General features: G+C 37.8%; 1 protein-coding gene across 1 annotated transcript in view; it reads right to left on the bottom strand.

Moving 5' to 3' along the window:
• Window positions 1-25,016, bottom strand: part of NWD2 (NACHT and WD repeat domain containing 2) — a 204,721-nt gene that overhangs the window by 119,141 nt on the left and 60,564 nt on the right. The window contains exon 2 of the mRNA NM_001144990.2: window positions 4,299-4,387. Within this exon, the coding sequence (NP_001138462.1) occupies window positions 4,299-4,387 (89 nt within the window). The remainder of the gene's footprint in view (window positions 1-4,298; window positions 4,388-25,016) is intronic.

The raw sequence follows: 25,016 nt of genomic DNA, 5'->3' as shown, positions 1-25,016 counted from the left end.
TGCCCTGGGTGTTCTTTGCTGAGTGGGCTTGATGTTCTTTCCAGTGAACTGTTTCCATCTCTGAGTAATCAACCTATATATGTACCCATCACATATAGAATTAATTGAAGTTTACATAATCGGAGTCTAGTGTATTTTCATCAAATATCTTAGTTCAAATGAAAAACAAATAAGGAAAACACTACAAAATAGCCTGCCAAACAGGCACATAGATAAAAGGTATATGGACTTGCTTAAAATGCGTATTAATTTAATTGATATTCTATTAATTTCTATTCTATTCATATTCTATTAATTTAATTGAATAAAGACTGAACTAAATGGATTACTATGTGCAGCTATTTGACTGGCCATTGGGATAAGTTAAATAAGGCAATTCCAGGCCTGAGAACATTTGGCACTTATAGGCAGGTGATGAAAAGTTTACTTAACCAGATGACGTTTCATTATCTACACTGCTTACTTTAGTTCTTCCTGTTTGCACTATTTTCCTGCTTTGACCATTCCTTTGCATTGTATTCTACTCATAGAACCTGAGCAAACCTCTTAATGGTAAGTCATATCACCTCACTCTTTCCCTTCCAACTCAATAAAATTCTAAGTCCTTAATCTTGGCCCATGAGGTCTCATATAATCTTACTTTGATGCCATCTGTAATTATTTCCTTCACTCACACTTGGCTTCTTTACTGTTCTAATTTTTTTTTTTGAGACAGGGTCTCACTCTGTTGTCCAGACTGGAGTGTGGTAGTGTGATTGTTCCTAGAATATTCTAAACACACTTCTACCTCAGACCCTTTTCCTTGTTCCCTATGCCTGGATTCCTCCCCACAACTCCAGACATCCGCATGACTTGCTCCATCACTTTCTGCAGATCTCTGCTCAAATATTGCCTTATCACCGAGTCTTTCTCTGACTACCTGGCATGCCCTAACCCTACTTTCTGTGATTTTTAAAACCGAAGCATTTATTCAATAAAATGCATTTATTATCCCTGGAATCTACACTGTCTGCCTCTCCTAACAATGTTAGAAGCTCCTCAGAAGAGGGTCTGGTTGGTTTGCTCCTTTATTTCCAGCACTTAGAATGTTGGTTGCCATGTGGTCAGCACTCAACAAATACTTCTTGAATGAACTGGATGGATTATCGGGAGTTATGCATTGAATTTCAGAGAAGCAAAGAGGAGGGTACATGGCCTATCTTGGGAGGTGTGGGAGGGATCAGAGAAGGCTTTCTTTTGCAAGTTATATCTGGGCTGGGTCTTCATTCATTCATTTTTTTTTTTCATGTAACCATTCATTCAACAAATTCTCATAGCATTTTCCAATGTGCCAGGGACTATAGGACAAGGAATGCAGCTGTCTTGAAATTCCGTAAAAACAGACAAGCCTCTGCTTTTATGGAACTTATAATCTAGTGGGAGAAAGACAATAAGCAGGCCAATACATAAACAAACAAGAAAAAATATCTGATACTGGCACACACTATGCAAAGAACTAAAACAGTATGATGCAAAAGAGAGGTGGTTACTTTAGGATGGGTCACAAGAACAGCATCTCTAGAGGAGAAGAGGCGTTCTGGTTTCTGGAATTTTCAGCCATAAAGACACATGCACATGTATGTTTGTTGCAGCACTATTCACAATAGCAAAGACTTGGAACCAACCCAAATGCCCATCAATGACAGACTGGATAAAGAAAACGTGGCACATCTACACCATGGAATACTATGCAGCCATAAAAAAGATGGAGTTCATGTCCTTTGCAGGGACATGAATGAAGCTGGAAACCATCATTCTCAGCAAACTAACACAGGAACAGAAAACCAAACACCGTATGTTCTCACTCATAAGTGGGCATTGAACAATGAGAACACATGGACACAGGGAGGGGAACATCACACACTGGGGCCTGCTGGGGGTGGGGGGCTAGGGGAGTGATAGCATTAGGAGAAATAGCTAATGTAGATGATGGGTTGATGGGTGCAGCAAACCACCATGGTACATGTATACCTATGTAACAAACCTGCATATTCTGCACACGTATACCAGAACTTAAAGTGTAATAATAATAATAAAAAGAAAAGCATCTCTAGGGGTGACATTTCAGTGGAGACCTGAGGGACAATAAGAAAGCAGCTGTGTGAAGATAAAGGCAGTGAGTATTCTGCAAGACAGAACAGCCAGAGTAAAATTCTCAAGTATGAATGGGCTTAAGGTGTTCAGGGATCCAAAAGAGGCCCACAGGGCTGTGGGCCATTGAGCAAGGGGGCACAACATGAGGTTAGATAGGAAGAGTCTTAAGAATGAGTAGAATCCAGGAGGTGAAGCAGGGGAAGAACCAGACTGAAAAGCATTGTAGTTGAAGAGAATGGCATGAGCAAAGGCAAGCAAGCATGAAGTAGACCGGTATGTTTGAGTAACTCTAGGAAACCATATGTTCTGGGTTCAGTGCACAACCAAAGATGGAGTCGGGGATACTGTGGGGGTAAACTGGCTGTTCATGAAGCTTCTGGCATCATACCTTTTGTTGAGTTGAGAGAAGAGAACTGCCTCTCTAAAAAATATATCCTTAGGGAGTGATATAATTAACCTACTATAAAAGACTACACTTAAAAGGTATATTCTTAGAAGATTCAGATATTATGGATGTGAACTCCTGCTAAGCCTAGAGCTTGGAAGCAAATGTAACCTTGCATATTTAATTTTATTCTAAACACAACCTCAGACATGTAAGCTGCTGCCATTCCTATTTTAGACACTGAACTGAAGGATAGGCAGGTTCAGTCACTCCCAGTACCCGTAGAGAACTGGGGGTCAATTTTACATCTTCCCTGCCCACTGCGGTGTACTCTGTGGTCCAACATCTCCTCAGCTGATTCAGTGCACCTGCCTAGAATAATCCTGTCAATTTATTCTATGGGCCTCGCCTAGTACAGTTTTCCTTTGCCTGTATCCATCTTCTGTGCCTACCTCTAGTTCAGAAAGTATACTTTTTTTCTCTTTCTCCCTCAGCTAATCCTAGTCAATACCATGGTTTATAGAAGCTGTCCTATAGCTCACTGACTTCCCCTGTTGACAAAAATGATGCAAAAACAAACCTAAAGATGGGATTATATGCTTGGACACATTTCTTCCTCTATGGTAACTGAGTCCCCAAGGAGTGTCTAAGTCTTTGGGATTCTTGACAGATTGGAAATTATGTAACAATTGGGACCCTATTATCAGTAAAACCAGATTCCTCAGAGAAGGCAGTGCTGAATTCATGACAAGGAATTTAATTTAGGTTCACAATTTGTCAAGTAAATGGTGACTTATGAGTGACAATTCAATGTGTGTGTCATCATGGTCTGGTGGCAAAGACATTATGCATTGAGATTGAAGCCATTTCGAGACTGTTACTTTATACAACATATTAGAAGGCATCAGGAGTATATCAAGATAAAATATTTATCTGGGAGGAAACAAAGGGTGAAATGTTCTTCCACTAACAATGGTGCATTTTGCACTTCTGCACCACAGACCTCTATTACATATTCATCACTTGACAATGTAAATGTGTAGTTTAGATAGCACTGGAGAGTTAGGATTTCCATCGCCAATGAGGCTGAAAAATTCTGACTAAATAATGTTATCTGTTGCAGGAGCCATTTATTTTTTTCAACATTTGGATGCCCAAGATACATGCAATGTTTTCAAGCACTTTACCGTTAGATGGCACATTCAGTGGTGCATTAAAATGTTAGGATGTTCATGAACTTTAGCAATGATGTGTGCCATCGCTGTCTCTTGAAAGGCTGATATAATGTTTTGGGGGGAGTAAATGATGTAGCTCTGAAATGAATAGGAAAAACGATGTTCTACAATGTGAATAAAAAGTTAAAGGCAAGACAGAAGGCAAGGCCAGGCCTGGCTGATGAAAGGAAATAAGTTTGAAAAAAGTTGGTCCCCATTTTTAAGTGCAAAATATTTCTAGAAACCATAGCTTAAACTCAGGTGCTCAGCAACTTTCATCTCTTTGATAATAGTGGAGACCGTCAAAAAAGCAAATAAATATGGTTCAAAGAAAAAGATGAGCCCATACCAGGAAGGGTCCAAGAAGCACAGCATAAAAGAACTAAACATAAAAAATGATGAAATACTTTATTTCCATTTGTCAGTGTTTCTTTTTACCCATGCTTGAAGAAATAAATTTTTTCAGGGCCTAAAACTTGTCTTTTACAACACTCAAGTTGTGACAAGAAACAAACACTAGTTATTTAACTGGACATAACTGTGAATGAAATTAACACTAGAATTACCTGAAATTCCAATCCATAGTTTTCTCTGCAGAATTCTCTCAGTTTAGGATATACATTTTCTCTTAGCGCCTGTCTTTCTGCTCCCGTATCTGTAGTAGAAAGACAAACACACAGGAAGTGAGTATGTCCACACATATGTTTCTGGCAAAAAAATGAAAACCTAAAAATAAATACTAACAGTAATACAATCAAGTTGAGGTGCTGGATTGTGAAATAACAGGATATTTGGCTGTTGGTGTAGACCTGCCCCCTAATTCCACAGAGATCCATCCATCAGGCACTCACGAGCAGTCCACAGGATGGACCACTTCTTGGTTCTGTGTATGCTGGCAGGGCTGAGAATTTACAGTTGATTCTTGATGCCTACATAGACCTTCACACTAAGCTCTTAAACAGTTATGACCACAATGTCTTTCGAAGAGGCAGAAGGACACTGGGTTATCAGGGTTTTAGCTCCACAAAATACAAGTTTTAAAACACACATACATACACACACGTTGATAAATTTAATTATTGATTTCCAAAAACATCCCAGACTACACCATTGCTACCTATTCAGATATATTGTGACATTTTACAAAATTTGGCACAGTATGGAAACAAGCATGAAAACCTATCATAGCAGATCCACCCACTGTAGATTCAATTGGCCAGTGGTTTAATAAAGTAATGCCTCCCCACCCCGGGCTTAGGGACATTATATCAGAGATAGAAACTATTTTACATATGTCATACCATGTAAACCTTCTGAAATAAAAAAATATTTTATTATCTCCTGTCATTAAGAAAATACAAGAAGAAACACAGAACCTGAAGCTCGAAGAATCACAAAACATGTATGCATTTAATGTCGAATGTTTTGCACAGAAAGGGATTCCAAAGTCACCTGTGCTGAACAATTCTGCATTGATGATGGCACTGTAAGATTCTAAGAGCAAATAGGCTGTTCCTTGCCCAGCTACCTTCAGTGAAACATGAATATAGTTTTCAAAAATTAGGTTAATGTGTAATCTTATGAAAAGTACCATTTGCTAAAAGTACCTCTATCCCAGCCATAACTATGAAACATCTGCATACCACATTTATAACAAAGATAACCGTTTAAAAGAATTTCCTTATTATTCTCAAACACATCTGTCCATGAAAATTTAACCATATGCCGTGTTGACCTACTCTATTTTCCTACTGTTCTCAAGCCTATTTTGAGAAGCAAATAACCAATCATGAAAGCCTGAAATGCAGCTGCAGCCTGGCAGAGTGACAGGAACCAGTGTTTACACAGAAATCAAAGATTCAGAGAAATACAAGGTCTTCTGGATTGTCTGTGGTCTAAACAAATAGGGTATTTTCCAGCCTTAGATTCAATATAGTTCTAAGTCCAAAGAGAAAAAGCGGGACACCCATCGGAGGAGCTGTACATGAAAGCGGGGCCCATGCGGTGTTATGGCACTGATGGAGGCAGTTATATTAAGCTTTCACATAATTTCTATAATCTTGAGATCAGAATGCCCATCCTCCCTTGCTCCATTTTAAGAGCTGAAAATGCTAACTTCACAATAAAGCCTATAATATTCAATAAATCTCTCTAAAAGCCCTTAGATTTTCAAAACCCAAATAACAAAAAAGCCACTTTAAAAAGAAACAAATACTGGCAGATATAGAAGATAAAAATATATTCAAAAGGGTTAAGAAATTCTGAAAAAAATGGTATCTAAATCGTACATAAAATAATTATGTAATAATATAAGAAACAGAAACTTATTGTTTCTTAAAAACATGTTAACTCATTTCTAGGTGCTGAGACTTGAATGCACAATTGGAAGGAGGATAAGAGAAATTTAGTACCTAATTTTTTTTAATTTCAACTCTTATTTTAGACACAGGGGGTACATGTGCAGGTTTGTTACCTGGGTATACTGCATCCAGGTAGTGAGCATAGTACTTGATGGTTTTTAAACTCACATCCCTCTCCCTTCCTCTCGCCACTAGCTGTCCACAGTGTCTATTGTTCTCATGTTTATGTCCATGTGTGCTCAATGTTTAGCTCCCATTTTCAAGTGAGAACATGCAGTATTTGGTTTTCTGTTCCTGCATTAATTAGTTTAGGCCTATGGCCTCTAGCTGCATCCATGTTGCTGCAAAGGACATTGCATTCTTTTTTTTTTTTGGCTGTGTAGTATTCCATGGTGTATATGTGCCACATTTTCATTATTTAATTCACCACTGATGGGCACCTAGGTTGATTCCATATCTTTGCTATTGTGAACAGTGCAGCAATGAGCATACAAGTGCATGTGTCTTTTTGGTATAATGATCTATTTCTCTTTGGGTATACATCTAGCAATGGGATTGCTGGGTCGAATGGTAGCTCTATTTCAAGTTCTTTGAGAAATCTCTGAACTTTTCCACAGTGGCTGAGCTAATTTACAATTCCACCGACAGTGTATAAGCATTCCCTACTCTCTGCAGCCTTGCCAGCGCCTGTTGTTTTTGGACTTTTTAGTAGTAGCCGTTCTGACTGGTATGAGAATGTATCTCATTGTGGTTTTGGTTTGCTTTTCTCTGATGATTAGTGATGATGAGTATTTTTTCATGTTTCTTGGCCACTTGCATGTCTTCTTTTAAGAAGTATCTGCTCATGTCTTTGTCTGTTTGTAATGGGGTTATTTGGTTTTTGCTTGATTTAAGTTTCTTATAGATTCTGGATATTAAATCCTTGTAGGATGCATAGTTTGTGAATATTTTCTTCCATTCGGTAGGTTGTCTGTTTACTCTGTTAATAGATTCTTTTGCTATAGCACCAAATTTCTAACATTTAATGACTGCTTCCTGCAGGCCAGTAGTGTGCTAAGTACTTCTATTTGCATTTCCTTAGTCACTGCTGACCACAACCCTATGAAATAGGTAACATTATTACCATGTTTTTTAGGCAAAGAAACCAAAGGGCAGAGGGGTTAGAAAACTCGCTCAAGAGCATACAGCCACTAAATTAGAAAACCCAGAATTGAATCCAGAAACTCATACACCATAGTTTGCTCTAACCAAGGAAATACACAACTGTGAAAAGAATCAACCTTTGCAATGACCGATGGAATAAATGCATGAAATGACTAAGTGATGTTAAAGTCCTAAAGCTTATGAAATAAAAAAAATTGAATTATCTGTGATGGATTCTTTTCTTTCTATAATACACCCTCCAAGAGCCAACACATCAATAAGTTCTCTCATTCTACCACTAAACAAATCCTGAGTTAATCTACTTCTGTCCCTTCTGCTACCAGATGCAAGCCATACTCACCTCTCATCCAGATTCCATCTCCCTGTTTTCATACTTGCCCCTTGGTTCATTCTCCATGGAGCAACCAGACTGATTTTTCCAAAATGTAAATCAGATCACATCACTACTTTGTTTAAAACCCCTACCAGCTCTTCACGGACCTTTAAATGAAATGTACACTCCTTACGATGAGTGTTCTCTCTCTCCCCAAGCTCATCTCTTACCACTTTCCTGTTTATGTCCCTCCAGAAGCACTGGCTTTCACTTGATTCTTAGATTATATTCCCACTTGCAGACCTTTGCTTTAGCTATGATGTCGTCCTGGAATGCTTAGTCCTGTGATCATCTCATGGCACTTCTTGTTATTCAACTCGCAGCTTTAATGCCACCTCCTCAGAGAGGCCTTCTCTGAGCACTCCATCTACAGAAGTCACTGAATCACCTTCTACTACCTTAATTCCTTGAGGATTACTCATCATTGTTTATTTGTTTATTGTGTGCCTCCCTCACTAAAATTTAAGCTCAAAGGGAGTTGAAAGCTTCTTTTGTCTCACTCATGGCTGCATCTCTAATGATTGGAGTCTTGCTCAATTAATAAATGAGTGAATGAAAAAAGCCACACATGCGCCAGTGACAAAAATGAACTGACAGGCATGGTTTCCCTGCAATTGCCTCCAGAAACAGAAAGGCCTCCTCTATTGTAATTCATCATTCGATGGGTTTAATAAAAGCAAGATTCTGAAATCTCGGGAAACGGTGGTATTTAGATAGTTGGTGTCATGAGGTAAATGAATGAACTGAAATATTTCTTCTCTGGTTTCTGTGTTTGTGGCAGAATATGAACTCAGATATTTTGAGCCTTTCTAAATATGTGAAGGAAGCATATACACATATCCAATGGGTTTTCTGTGCTCTTATTTATATTAAAAATTGACTTAGATTTTCCCATATTTGTATTAATATATGATTGGCTCTGAAAATGAAAAAGTAATTAAGATAGGAATGGATTAATTATGATGAGTGACAGATAAGCTGGCTTAATTAAATAAAAAACTTGATTCATACCAACGGCAAATCTGGATGGTTCACAATTTAAAAAATTAGAATGTCATGGACAGGAAATATTAGCTCACAGAATCTCACACTTAAAAAGGGCCCTCTTTAAACAGTGTAAATCAAAGATGAGGTATGTCTTAATTTATGTTTTATACATAGTCATCGCAACTATTTGTATCTGCCCAGTTCCTTAATGCTTTGAAAAGGTGCATTAACACTTTGGCAGCACTAACTATTAGGTATTTAAGGAGCTGCTTTCTGAATGATTCCTTTGTGATTTCAGAGTTAATGAAGGTCTCTGTACAGTGTCTGAGTCACCTACAGGAAGTACATTAGTTGGGGGAGAATTAATAATCAATACCATTATCCTTATAATATCTTGATTTCACTTCAGCAAGGGTTTAGATTAATTCCAATTTTTTTATTGAAGATAAAAGAGTGCTGAAAGGACCGTGCTAGATTGGAGCTTCATACAGCTCTATCTTCAACAAACTAAAGGCATGGACTTTAGTCATTTTTTTCTTTCTCTTTTTTTTGAGACACAGTTTCACTGTTTCCCAGGCTGAAAGTGCAGTGGCATGATCTCGGCTCACTGCAACCTCTACCTCCCAGGTTCAAGCAATTTTCATGCCTCAGCCTCCCTAGTAGCTGGGATTACAGGTGTGTGCCACCACACCTGGTTAACTTTTATATTATTAGTACAGACGGGGTTTTACCACGTTGGCCAGCTGGTCTCGAACTGCTGACCTCATGTGATCTGCCCACCTTGGCCTCCCAAAGTGCTGGGATTACAGGTGTAAGCCAGTGCACCCAACCTAAACTCATTTTTCCCATGTTCTTTGCAGCTCAGAAAATCTGCTTAGAATCCACTATAGATCCTCTGCTAAAATTGTCCTGTTAGCATGGTTTCCAAGGTCTCTGTACATTTGCTCTTGCCTGGATTCTTTCTCTTTTCCTAGCCTCTTAGTTAATGATTCATATGGACAGCCTGTTCGACTTCTGGGGTTGTGTTTAGGCTAATTTCTTGTTTGGCAGCTCCCCAAGAGGCTGTCTCCTCTCTATGGCCCTCAGATAATTCCTCTGTACTCATCTAGCCTCCCACACTCTTCCTTATATCAATGTGAGCAAATCTTCTCAATTTTATGTCATAAACACTTTTTAAATTTGGCCACTATTTTCACTCACCTTCTCTCAACCCAAGAAGCAAAAAGTCTATTTGCTTGACCTGTTATCTGTCCCTGTCTCACAGAGCCGCCAGCAATAAATGCCAAGACAAAATGAAAACAAAAACTAATTTGATTATTAAAGACCTTGCTGGCATCTGGTGGTCCAGAGGATAAAGGCTAGAATGCTTAGCAAGTGTAAATATATCTTCTAGCTAAGTTCTATCTTCTACTGCTGATCACCATGTATCCTCTAAAATCTGAGTTTTCAGCCATTACTTGCTCCTGAACTTTGCCCTCACACAAACTGCTTTCCATGCTCAGAAGGTCCTATCAGATGAAAGATCTCTACAAGAAGAACTATAGAACACTGCTGAAGGAAATCACAGATGACACAAACAAATGGAAAAAACATCCCATGCTCATGGATTACAAGACACAATATCATTAAAATGACCATGCTGCCTAAAGCAATCTACAGATTCAATGCTATTCCTATCAAACTACCAATGTCATTTGTCACAGAACTATAAAAAACTATTCTAAAATTCATACAGAATCAGAAAAGGGACTGAATGGCCAAAGCAATCCTAAGCAAAAAACAACAAATTTGGAGGGATCACATTACCTGACTTCAAACTATACTATAAGGCTACAGTAACCCAAACAGCACGGTACTGATACAAAAACAGGCACATAGACCAACGTAACATAATAGAGAATGCAGAAATAAAGCTGCACAACTACAGATATCTGATCTTCAACAAAGTTGACAAAAATAAGCAATGTGGGAAAGGACCCCCTATTCAATAAATGGTACTGGGATAGCTATCTAGCCATATGCAGAAGAATGAAACTGTACCCCTATCTTTCACTATATATAAAAATTGACTCATGATAGATTAAAGATTTAAATGTAAGATCTTTACCTGTAAGAATCCCAAAAGAAAACCTAAGAAAAACCATTCTGAACATTTGCATTGGGCAAGAATTTATTTAAGTCCTCAAAAGCAACTGCAACAAAAACAAAAATTGACAAGTGGGACCAATTAAATAAAAAAGCTTCTGCACAACAAAAGAAACTATCAGCAGTAATAAAGAGACAACCTGCAGAATGGGAGAAAATATTCACAAACTATGCATCTGACAAATGTCTAATATCCAGAATCTCTAAGAAGCTTAAACAAATCAACAAGCAAAAACCAAATGAACCTAGTAAAAAATGGGCAAAAGACATGAAGAGGTACTTCTCAAAAGAAGACACACAAATGGCCAAACATGAAAAAATGTTCCACACATCACTGGTCACCAAGAAATGCAAATTAAAACCACAAAGATGCCATCTCATACCAGTCACGGTGGCTATTATTTAAAAGTCAAAAAACAACAGATGCTGGTAAAGCTGCAGTGAAAAGAGAATGCTTACCTACTGTTGGTGCAAATGTAAATTAGTTTATTCACTGTGGAAAGCAGTTTGGAGATTTCTCAAAAAATGTAAAACAGAGCTACCATTTGACCCAGCAATCCCATGACTGGGTACATATCCAAAAGAACATAAATCATTCTACCAAAAATACAGATGCATTTGCATTTTCATCACTGCACTATTCACAATAGCAAAGACATGGAATCAGCCTAGGTGCCCATCAATGGTGGGTTGGATAGAGAAAATGTGGTACATATACACCATGGAATACTATGCAGTTATAAAATATAATGAAATCATGTCCTTTGCAGCAACATGGATACAGCTGGATGCCATCATTCTAAGTGAATTAACATAGGAACATAATAAAAATATTATAATATTATTATAATTTTACATAATAAAAACCAAATAGCATATATTCTCACTTATAAGTGAGAGCTAAACACTGGTTACTAATGGATATAAAGATGGCAACAACAGAAATTGAGGACTTCTGTGGGGGAGGTAGGGAGGGTAGTAAGGGTTGCAAAACTAACTGTTGGGCACTGTGATCAGTACTAGGGTGATGGCATAAATAGTACCACAAACCTCAGCATCATGAAATATACCCAGGTAACAAACCTGCACATGTGTCCCCTGAATCTAAAATGAAAGCTGAAATTATTTTAAAAAATACCTTTTTTGTATACCTTGTTTGTATCCACTGTAGACTATGAATTCATGGAAGGCAAGACCTTCTCATACATCCTTACATCTTAGAAATTAGAGCAGATTGGCCAGGCGCAGTGGCTCATGCCTGTAATCCCAGCACTTTGGGAGGCCAAGGTCAGTGGATCGCCTGAGTCAGGAGTTCAAGACCAGCCTGGCCAACATGGTGAAACCCCATCTCTACTAAAAAAATACAAAAATTAGCCAGGTGTGGTGACAGGTGCCTGTAATCCCAGCTATTTGGAGGCTGAGGCGGGAGAATCACTTGAACTTGGGAGGTGGAGGTTGCAGTGAGCCAAGATCATGCCACTGCACTACAGGTTGGGTGACAGACAAGAGCGAGACTTCGTCTCAAAAAAAAAAAAAAAAAAGAAAGAAAAAAGAAAAAAGAAATTAGAGCAGCTCCCAGAACGTAATTAGTACTCAATAAATGAATGAGCGAATAGTTTGTATCATAATGAAAACATTAACTAAACCAAAGTAAAAAAATTAACATGTCCTCCTAAAGCCAACATGAATCAAAATCCAATGTCACTTTCAAGTAATAGTTGACTATGTTGACAGCATTAACTATCATATGTGAGTCTTGAGGTGATGTTAAAAAATACTTGATGGAGTATGGCATTGTCAAGTGCTTAGTGGATTCTCTTCCCAATAAGCAATAATCAAACTTGACCAAATTGTCAAAATAACCATTTTAAAGATCTGTCAAACAGCCAAAGATCAAAGGCATGAAACAAATTGAGAAGTCATTATTCATGAATAATCACTGAACTTTGGGTAAGAGGAGTCTGTGGGGATTCTTGCCTTCTCCTATCCCTACTTAACTGAGACTTCACACCTTCACACCCCAGCTCAAAGAAAGTCAATCAACATCATCGCCAGAGAAGTTTAACTTGATTAGGAGCTGAACTTGTAAAAACTCCATGTCTACCAGTATTGTTAGTAGCAGTAGTGGTCTCAGAGGTAGACAAAAGGGTAAGTTCAGTGCCTCAGCTAGCATATGGCTTCATCGAAATGTAACAAGGAGATCAAGAAAATAAACAGTCATTGAGGGCCTGAATAAGCTCTCCACAAATTCCTGTGGTGGGAAGGCTACACACAAACTTAAGAAAGATTGAAAGCTGTTTACACATTCCTGGCTGACTTTGAAGCTGTTTACATGGGCAGCAGAAACAAGAAAAGGCCTGGTGGAGAAGCTGTAATAGCTTTAAATACTGCCTAAACTTTGAATGTGTTCCCCAAATACAGATCCACAGTCGAATAAAAGCCTTACTGGTTTGAGGTATTTGAGAAGAAATTCTGAAAAATCATTGACAAATATTAAACTACACAGACAAATGGGTGACCCATAAGAAGTCAGGCTTAAAAACAGAAATGAAAAATTATAGTAATTAAATAACTGTGAAGAGACATCAACAGCACATATTGTGGGGAATAGATTTCACAGATTTAGTCCAGGTAAGTTACTAAACAAAAATAATTCAAAGAAACAAACTAAAAAACATCACTCAGAGGTGAAAAATCAGGATCTAGAATTGTTATATTACCTAAAATATCCAATGTTTAAGAAATACTTATGAGAGGGATAAATAAACAGAAAAATGTGACACAGAAAAAATGTCAACGGAAATTGTCTGAGTGGGTTCAGATTTTAGATTTGGCTGATGAAAACCTGAAATCAGCTATTATAATCAAGAAAATTAAGTTAACAATGTTTAAACAATAAGGAAAATGAACCAAGCCCCAAGACACCTGTGGAAAACCATCATCCAAACTAATATCTATGTAAAGTGAGTCCCAGAAGGAGAAGATAAAGGGAAAGGAAGAAAATTTAAATAAATAATCACGAAAATGTCCCAAATTTAAAGGAAGACATAAATCTACACATCCAAAGAAGTTCAAGAACCCAACTAGGATAAACACAAAGGATCTGCATTTAGACACATATAGTCAAACTGTTAAAACAAAAGATAAAGAGAAAATCTTGACACCAAGAGAAAAAAAATTATCACATATAAGGGAACAGCATTACAATTAATAGCTGACTTCTCATCAGAAGGAGTGGAAGCCAGAAGGCAATAGAACAACATAGTCTGAAAAAAGGTACTGAAAAAATGAGTCAACCAATAATTCTATATTCAACAAAACTATTTTTAAAAAAGCAAAATACTTACATCACCAAATTTGAAAAGGCTGAGAAAAGCTGATACTAGCAGATCTGCATTATAGACTATACTAAAGAAATTATTCTAAGCTTAAAGGAAATGACATTAGACATAAAGTATACTGGAAAAGGTAAATATGTAAGTATGTATAAAAGACTATATAAGTAGATCTTCTTCTTTCTACATTTAGTAGAAAAGACTGTACCTTTGGATTTTAACATACACATAATACATATATGACAATAATAAAACAAAGGAGAGAGAAGAAAAATAGAGCTGTACCAGTGCAAAGTATTTTTGCTTTAACAAAATTAAGTTAGTATTCATCTAAAGTGTGATAAATTAAGAATATTTTGTAATCCTCAGAGCACCAAGTAAGAATATAACCTGAAAAATAAAGAAAACATAATTAAAATGATATACTAAAATATCTATTTAGCAAAGAAGAGAGTCAAGTGGGAACAAACGAAGAAAACCAACGTGAGATATGTAGAAAATAGTAAAATGGCAGAAATAAATCCAAGCTATCAATAAATACTTCAAATAAAAATGGAATAAATATTCAAATGGAAAGAAGGAATTGCCAGGCTAGATAACAAAACAATATCCAACTAAATATAAAAGACACACTTTAGATCCAAAACCACAAATATGTTGAAAGTAAAAGGATAGAAGATATGCAGTAAACCAAAATCAGATCAGACAAAATAGGTTTTAAGAAATACTACTAGAGGAAAAAAAACTATAACAATTATGAATGTGTACACACTCATAAACAGTACCCTAAAATATATAACGGAGAAGCTGGCAAAATTAAAAGAAGAAATAGATATTCCAAGAGCTGGTGACTCCAATCTTATTCTCAATAATTGATGAAATAACTAAATAGAAAATCAAAAGGAGGCAGAAGACTTGAACACCACTATCAAGCAGTTTAACCTGACATTTATAGAACAATCCACCCCCAAGAGAGCAGAATGCAATTCTTTACTGGTGCTCATGGAACATTTCCCATGATAGGTCATATGCTAGACTAGAAGCAAGTCTCATAAGTTTAATTGTAATGATAACATATATGATCTCCAACTACAACAAAATTAAGTTAGAAATCAACAACCTGCATTTTGGGAAGCTTCCAGATTTTTGGAAATTGAATAAGATACTTCTAATACACTAATATTCTAATATATTTCTAAATATTTGACATTATTACTCATGCATCAAAAATTCACAAAGGAAAACAAAATGTGTTGAAATAGATAAAATAAAAGCACACGCTAAAAGCTATCAAATGGAGCTAAAGCAGTGGTTAGAATGAAATTTATATCTTTGAACACCTGTAAAAGTAAAGGTTAAAATCAGTGAATCAAAATTCCACCTTAAGAAACTAGAAAATTTAAACAAACTGAACCCAAAACAAACTCAAGGAAGAAAATAAGGATTATAGTACAAATCAATGAAACAATAAAAGAAAACTGAGAGAAAAATTGCTAAAGTAAAAAGTTGGTTCCTTGAAAGATCAGTACAATTATCAACTGTCAGCTAGGTTGACCAAGACAGAAATGAAGGAAAACAAACCACCAAAATCAGGAATGAAACAGGAGCCATCACTACTGATGCTACAGAAGTTAAAAAATTTAAGTGTATACTATACCTTATAGTGAACAACAACTTTATTTCTAATACATTAAAGAAATTAGATAAACAAATTTCTAGGAACACACATATTACTAAAACTGACTCAGGAAGAAAGATAATCTGAATATATCTGTAACAAGTAAAATCATTTAGTTATTAAAATCTTTCCATAAATAAAATCTCAGGCCCAGAGTATATAACTGGTAAATTATATAAAGACAAAATTAATCCTTTGCAAATCTTTCAGAAAATAGGGAATACTCAACTCATTCTGTAAGTCTATATTATCCTACACCCAAAACCAGACAGACATCAAAAGAAAAAAACACAAAACAAAAACTACCGACCAATATATCCATCATGAATATAGATGCAAAGTCCTTAACAAACTATTAGTAAACTAAGTCTAGCTGCATACACATTATAATCAAGTGGGATTTATTGCAGAAATGCAATGTTACTTTAATGTTTGTAAATCAATTAATAGAATATACCATATTAATAAAGAACATAACCACATGACTGCTCAATAGACGCAGAAAAAGCATTTGACAAAATCAAATACATATTCAGGATAAAAACTCAGCAATGGCCAGGCGCAGTGGCTCACGCCTGTAATCTCAGTACTTTGGGAGGCCGACGTGTGCAGATAATGAGGTCAGGAGATCGAGACCAGCCTGGCCAACATGGTGAAATCCTGTCTCTACTAAAATACAACAATTAGGAGGGCGTGTGGGCAGGTGCCTGTAATCCCAGCTACTCAGGAGGCTGAGGCAGCAGAATCACTTGAACCCGGGAGGCAGAGGTTGCAGTGAGCTGAGATCGCATCACTGCACTCTAGCCTGGGTGACAGAGTAAGTCTCCATCTCAGAAACAAACAAACAACAAACAAACAAACAAAAAACTCATCAACAAGGAATAGAAACGAACTTCCTCAACTTGATAAATAGCATCTTCAAAAATCCCTACAGCTAAAAATCCTTCAAAAAATTAATGAATCCAAGAGCTGGTTTTTTGAAAGGATCAACAAAATTGATAGACCGCTAGCAAGACTAATAAAGAAAAAAAGACAGAAGAATCAACTAGACACAATAAAAAATGATAAAGGGGATATCACCACCGATCCCACAGAAATACAAACTACCATCAGAGAATACTACCAATAACTCTACGCAAATAAACTAGAAAATCTAGAAGAAATGGATAAATTCCTCAACACATACACCCTCCCAAGACCAAACCAGGAAGAAGTTGAATCTCTGAATAGACCAATAACAGGATCTGAAATTGTGGCAATAATCAACAGCTCACCAACCAAAAAGAGTCCAGGACCAGATGGATTCACAGCCGAATTCTACCAGAGGTACAAGGAGGAACTGGTACCATTCCTTCTGAAACTATTCAAATCAACAGAAAAAGAGGGAATCCTCCCTAACTCATTTTATGAGGCCAGCCTCATCCTGATACCAAAGCCAGGAAGAGACAAAACCAAAAAAGAGAATTTTAGACCAATATCCTTGATGAACATTGATGCAAAAATCCTCAATAAAATATTGGCAAACCGAATCCAGCAGCACATCAAAAAGCTTATCCACCATGATCAAGTGGGCTTCATCCCTGGGATGCAAGGCTGGTTCAATATACACAAATTAATAAATGTAATCCAGCATATAAACAGAACCAAAGACAAAAACCACGATTATCTCAATAGATGCAGAAAAGGTCTTTGACAAAATTCAACAACCCTTCATGCTAAAAACTCTCAATAAGTTAGGTATTGATGGAACATATCTCAAAATAATAAGAGCTATCTATGACAAACCCATAGCCAATATCATACTGAATGGGCAAAAACTGGAAGCATTCCCTTTGAAAACTGGCACAAGACAGGGATGCCCTCTCTCACCACTCCTATTCAACATAGTGTTGGAAGTTCTGGCCAGGGCAATTAGGCAGAAGAAGGAAATAAAGGGTATTCAATTAGGAAAAGAGGAAGTCAAATTGTCCCTGTTTGCAGATGACATGATTGTATATCTAGAGAACCCCACTGTCTCAGCCCAAAATCTCCTTAAGCTGATAAGCAACTTCAGCAAAGTCTCAGGATACAAAATCGATGTATAAAAATCACAAGCATTCCTATACACCAATAACAGACAAACAGAGAGCCAAATCATGAGTGAACTCCCATTCACAATTGCTTCAAAGAGAATAAAATACCTAGGAATCCAACTTACAAAGGATGTGAAGGACCTCTTCAAGGAGAACTACAAACCACTGCTCAAGGAAATAAAAGAGGATGCAAACAAATGGAAGAACATTCCATGCTCATGGGTAGGAAGAATCAATATCGTGAAAATGGCCATACTGCCCAAGGTAATTTATAAATTCAATGCCATCCCCATCAAGCTACCAATGACTTTCTTCACAGAATTGGAAAAAACTACTTTAAAGTTCATATGGAACCAAAAAAGAGCCCGCATCGCCAAGTCAATCCTAAGCCAAAAGAACAAAGCTGGAGGCATCACGCTACCTGACTTCAAACTATACTACAAGGCTACAGTAACCAAAACAGCATGGTCCTGGTACCAAAACAGAGATATAGATCAATGGAACAGAGCAGAGCCCTCAGAAATAACGCCGCATATCTACAACTATCTGATCTTTGACAAACCTGACAAAAACAAGCAATAGGGAAAGGATTCCCTATTTAATAAATGGTGCTGGGAAAACTGGCTAGCCATATGTAGAATGCTGAAACTGGATCCCTTCCTTATACCTTATACAAAAATTAATTCAAGATGGATTAAAGACTTAAATGTTAGACCTAAAACCATAAAAACCCTAGAAGAAAACCTAGGCATTACCATTCCGGACATAGGCATGGGCAAGGACTTCATGTTTAAAACACCAAAAGCAACAAAAGCCAAAATTGACAAATGGGATCTAATTAAACTAAAGAGCTTCTGCACAGCAAAAGAAACTACCATCAGAGTGAACAGGCAACCTACAAAATGGGAGAAAATTTTTGCAACCTACTCATCTGACAAAGGGCTAATATCCAGAATCTACAATGAACTCAAACAAATTTACAAGAAAAAAACAAACAACCCCATCAAAAAGTGGGCAAAGGATATGAACAGACACTTCTCAAAAGAAGACATTTATGCAGCCAACAGACACATGAAAAAATGCTCATCATCACTGGCCATCAGAGAAATGCAAATCAAAACCACAATGAGAAACCATCTCACACCAGTTAGAATGGCAATCATTAAAAAGTCAGGAAACAACAGGTGCTGGAGAGGATGTAGAGAAATAGGAACAGTTTTACACTGTTGGTGGGACTGTAAACTAGTTCAACCAGTATGGAAGTCAGTGTGGCGATTCCTCAGGGATCTAGAACTGGAAATACCATTTGACCCAGCCATCCCATTACTGGGTATATACCCAAAGGACTATAAATCACGCTGCTATAAAGACACATGCACACGTATGTTTATTGTGGCACTATTCACAATAGCAAAGACTTGGAACCAACCCAAATGTCCAACAACGATAGACTGGATCAAGAAAATGTGGCACATATACACAATGGAATACTATGCAGCCATAAAAAATGATGAGTTCATGTCCTTTGTAGGGACATGGATGAAATTGGAAATCATCATTCTCAGTAAACTATAGCAAGGACAAAAAACCAAACACTGCAGGTTCTCACTCATAGGTGGGAATTGAACAATGAGAACACATGGACACAGGAAGGGGAACATCACACTCTGGGGACTGTTGTGGGGTGGGGGGAGGGGGGAGGGATAGCATTAGGAGATATACCTAATGCTAAATGACGAGTTAATGGGTGCAGCACACCAGCATGGCACATGTATACATATGTAACTAACCTGCACATTGTGCACTTGTACCCTAAAACTTAAAGTATAATAATAATTAAAAAAAAAATCCCTACAGCTAGCACCATGCTTCAAGATATTAGGCAAATGTTTTCCACCTACAACTAAGAACACCTCCTCAAAACTTCTATTCAATATTTTATAAGAGGTTCTGGTCAGTGCAATAAAGAAAACAAATTATTTTTTTTCTATCAATTTATCCAAATCTTAGAAGTTTCCAGTAAAAATTCACTGTGTTATTTCTACACCTGAATACATTTTAGGGAAAGAGGGGTAAGTTAGAAAAGATAATGGTGGATTTCTGTTTCTGGTACTACCAAGGTAAATAAATTTGCAAACATCACACTAAAAACAATGGAAATTTTGCATCAAATATTTAAAAATCTATCTTTTTAAATGTGTTGCATAGCTAGAATAAAACTAAATAACACACAGACAGGCCAAAGGCACAGTGAAAGCAGAAATCTTGGAAAATAAGAGATCTGAGGACAGCTTTAGATTATATTCTATTAAATCTTGGTGACTTTTAAGTATCATTTTGTCATTTGTGGGTACATGGTAGATTGGAGACAAAGTATAGGGCCCTACTCAATGTGACAATGGTATGGGATTTTTTTTCTAACAGGAAAAACATGCAAAAGGTCATCACTCCAAAGAGGTGTATCTTCAGTGTGGCAGTGAACTAGAAATAAATCTTCACCAGCTAGAAAACTTGAAAGATGTTATCAAGATAGCTGAGTAGAAGAGCCTGCTTCCTTCACACAAAAAGGCTAAAGTGATAAGCAGATAACTACATGGTGAATTGCATGCCTAGGGAGAACAACAGAATACATGGGAGAATATGTGACAGAGGCATCCCTGAGGCATTGGAACTTGGGAAGGTAGCATAGAGAAGGAAGAGCCCTGGGATTGACTCAAAGCCAAGAGGCACTCTGCACTGTGAGAAAAGGCAGGAGATCCCTAGCAGTCCACATTCCCACCACAGACACCTGCAATTCTAGCTGCAAGGGAGCCCTACAGTATTCACAGGCTTTGAGACTAGTGTAGGGAGGGAACTCATGCTGAGTTCCCACCTCCCCCCAGCCATTCTCTGGAACCCAGACTACTGCATTATGGTGCCATTTTGAGAACAGAGCCACTGCTAAAATGTACCCTGTCCAGGAGCCCCAAAGGGCCTGCTTCTCTGCATTTCTGAGCCCTTATCATTATCCAATCCAGAAGGCTACAGGGCTGTGATTCCAGTTGGACCCCGTGGTGTAGCTGTGAACTCAGCACCTGAGGCAATGCAGTGGCCTGTACCCAAGGGAACAGGTGATCTAGTATATCAGGGAGGCCATCTTCAAGACAGAGGGAGCCAAAGCATGTGCTCCCCAGAATTTGAGAGCTGACGGCCTAATGACCAGCAGAACTGCCACATGCTCGTGTGCACTCCCCAAAGGCCCTAGGACTGGCCTGCCTGGGGCCTGCTGCCAGTGTCACTGGCAACGCTGACTCCTGTAGTGGTGGAGCTGCTGCATTGCCTGCAGGGCCTTCTCCATCAGGAACTCAAGGACTGGCTACCCCAGGATGGGGGCCCAGGACTGGCCCACCAAGGGCCTGCCAATGCTGACAACTCTGCCCGCTTCAGCAGCAGAGCTCCTGTGCTCTCTCATGCAATCCCCCATCTGAGGGCCTGAGGACTGTCTTATCTGATGTCTGCTGCCACTGATGGCCCTTCCCACTACAGAAGTGGAGCTGCCATGTGCCCCCATCAGGGGCCTAAGGACTGGCACATTTAGGGCCCATACCATCAGTGAAACTACCTGTCTAGTGGGGAAGCCACAGTGTGCTTGCATTCCCCTTAGAAGCCTGAGTACCAGCTTGCTGGGGCCTTCCATTGCCTTTGACTTTGCCTACTCCAGTGTCAAGGCTACTGAGTGCCTGTACCCTCAACCAGGGGCCTGAGGACTGGCTCACCTGAGAATTGCTGCCACTGGTGACCTACCAATCTAGTAGTGAAACCACTGCATGTCCCCTCCCAAGGGGCCTAAGAACTACCCTGCTGCCCAGGGACTGCCACTGCCAGCAACCACACTCTCCAGCTGGGAAATAGAGCTATGTGCCTGTGCATGCTCCCCAGGGACCCAAGGTCTGGTTTACCTGGGGTCTGCTCCTGCCACTAATGGCTGCTGCCACTAATGACTGCCGCCCTGACCAGCATACCCCTCCAAGTGCTCCCAAACCAGGCTCTCTGGTAGCTCCAGGCCTCTCAGCAAAGCTGCCTCCACAAACACTCACAATCTAGGCTACTAAAGCACTCATAGGTACCACTGACACTGATTACAGCTGAAGAAACACATGGACACTACACTACTGTGCCCACCCAGAACCAAAGTCAAAGCACTCTATTCAATTAACACATCTGCCAGAAAAAGTCTTTCCCCATGAAAGCTATGCCATAAAATTAGAAGACGTGACTGTTCTACCAGATGTGCAGATATTAACATAGGGATGTAAAAAACATGAAAAAGCAAGGAAAATTAACACCTCAAAAGGATCCAAATAATTTATTAGTAATACATCCCAAGGCAAAGGAAATTGATGCAATACTTTTAAAGGAATTTAAAATAATGACCTTAGGGAACTCAGAAAGATATAAGAGAATACAGACAGATGATTCATCAAAATCAGAAAAACAATTCATAATCTGAATGAGAAATTTAATACATAGATATCACAAAAAAGGACCAAATTGGAAACTAAAAAAATCAATGAATCCATTTTTTTAAAAAATCAAGAGCTTCAACAATAGACTAGATCATAAGAAGAAAAAATTTCTGAACTTGAAGACAGGTCTTTTGACAAAATCCAGTCAGACAAAAAGAAAATGAATAAAGAAAGCCTACGAGACTTACAGGATATAATTAAGTAAACAAATATTTGTATTATGGAATTTCCAGAAGAGGAAGAGATGGGAAAAAGAATAGAAAACCCATTTAATAAAGTAATTGCTAAAAACTTCCAAGTTTTGGGAAGAAATATGGATATTCAGATACAGGAAACTAAAAAGTCCCCAAATAGATTCAACCTCAAAGATTCTCTCTGAGAAACATTATAGTCAAAAGTCAAAGAGAAAATGAGAATTGTAAAAACCGCAAGAGAAAAGCATCAAGTCACATATAATGAAATCCCCTTCAGACTAATAGCATATTTCTCAGCAAAAACCTTACAGGCATGGAGAGAATGGGATGATATATTTAAAGTGCTGAAAGAAAAAAAACCCTGGCAGCCAAGATACATTACCCAACAAACTTATCCTTCAGAAATCAAGGAGAAACAATGTCTCTCCCAGACAAGCAAAACTGTGGGAATTTACCACTAGACCTACACGACAAGAAATACATGAGAGTCCTGTATCTGGAAGCAAAAGAATGATAACTACCATCATAAAAACATGTGAGAGAATAAAACACACTGGTAGAGCAGATACATAAATAAAAAAGAAATAATTAAACTTTATCACTACAGAAAATTACCAAACTGCAGCCAACATTGGAGTTAAACTATACCCTAGACCAAATGGACCTAACAGACATTTACAGAACATTTCATCCTAAAGCTACAGAATACATATTCCTCTCATCAGTACATAGAACATTCTTTTTTTTTTTTTTTTTGATGGAGTCTCGCTCTGTCGCCTAGGCTGGAGTGCAGTGGCGCAATCTCGGCTCACTACAACCTCCACCTCCCGGGTTCAAGTGATTCTCCTGCCTCAGCCTTCCGAGTAGCTGTGAATACAGGCGTGTGCCACCACGCCTGGCTAATTTTTTGTATTTTTTTAGTAGAGACAGGGTTTCCCCATGTGAGCTAGGATGGTCTCACTCTCCTGACCGTGTGATCCGCCTGCTTTGGCCTCCAAATGTGCTGGGATTACAGGCATCAGCCACCACACCCGGCCCAGAACATTCTTTAGGATAGATCACATGGTAGGCTGCAAAACAAGTCTTAACAAATTTTAAAAAACTAAAATCATATCAAGTATCTTTTCATACTACAACAATATATAACTAGAAATCAACAACAAGAGAAACTGGAAATTGTACAAATACATGGAAATTAAACAACATGCTCCTGAATGGGTAAAGGAAGAAATTAGGAAAAAAATAAGAAAGTTTCTTCAAACAAATGAAAAATATCCTAACCTATGGGATAGACAAAGGCAGTATTAAGTGAAGTTCATAGCAATAAATGCCTACATCAAAAAAGTAGAAATATTTCAAATAAACAACCTCATGTTGTGCCTCAAGCTATCAGAAAAGCAAGAAAAAACAAAACCCCACATTAGAATAAAGGAAATAATAAAGATCAGAACTAAATGAAACAAAGACTTAAAGTACTAAAGATCAGTGAAAGAAAAAGTTGGTTTTTGGAAAAGATAAACGATACTGAGAAACCATTAGCTGTACTAAGAATAAAAAGAGAAGACTCAAAATCAGAAACAAAAAAGGAACCATTACAACTGATACCACAGACACAAAAAGGATCTTTACAGACTATTATGCATAATGCTACACAAACAAAATGGAAAATCTACAAAAAATGAATAAATTTCCAGACACATATAATTTACCAAAACTGAACCAAAAATAAACAGAAAACCTGAACTGACTAACAAATGATGAGGTTGAATCAGGAATAAGAAGTCTCTCAACAAAGAAAATCCTGGAACCAAATGGCTTCACTGATGAATTCTACTGAACCTTTAAAGGACTAACAACAATTCTTCTCAAACTTTTCCAAAAAACTGAAGAGAAAAAAATTCCTCCACATTAATTCTATTAATTAATTATTCTATTAATTCTATAAGAGTAGCATTACTCTGATATCAAAACAGCACAAAGACAGCCAAAAAAGAAAACTACAGACCAATAACCCTGATGAACACAGATGCAAAATCCCCAACAAAATACTAGCAAACGAAATCAAACAGCACATCAAAAAGATTCTATACCACAGTCAACTAGGATTTATCCCAAGGATGCAAGGATGTTTCAACACATGCATATCAATAAATGTGATACATTACATCAACAGATGAAAGACTAAAACCACAGGCCAAAGAAACATTTGCTAAAATTCAACATCTTTTATGATAAAACTCTCAATAAATTAGGTACAGAAAGAACGTACTTCAACGAAGAGATTTTCTGAAACTGGAAGTTATATTTAAAAGGGAAACAGAGAATAAAAGTTTGGAAAATTTGCAGCCCGACCATGTAGTAGAAAAGAAAGACCTATTTTCTGGAGAGGAATTCAAGGCTGCAGAAATCTGCATAAGTAAAAAGGAGCTGAATGTTAATAGCAAGACAATGGCAAAAATGCCTCCAGGGAA

Source organism: Homo sapiens, chromosome 4 (genome assembly GCF_000001405.40).
Source record: "Homo sapiens chromosome 4, GRCh38.p14 Primary Assembly".
Lineage (NCBI taxonomy): Eukaryota > Metazoa > Chordata > Mammalia > Primates > Hominidae > Homo > Homo sapiens.
The sequence above is the reverse complement of the archived record's forward strand: the minus strand, read 5'-3'. Positions and strand labels throughout refer to the sequence as shown.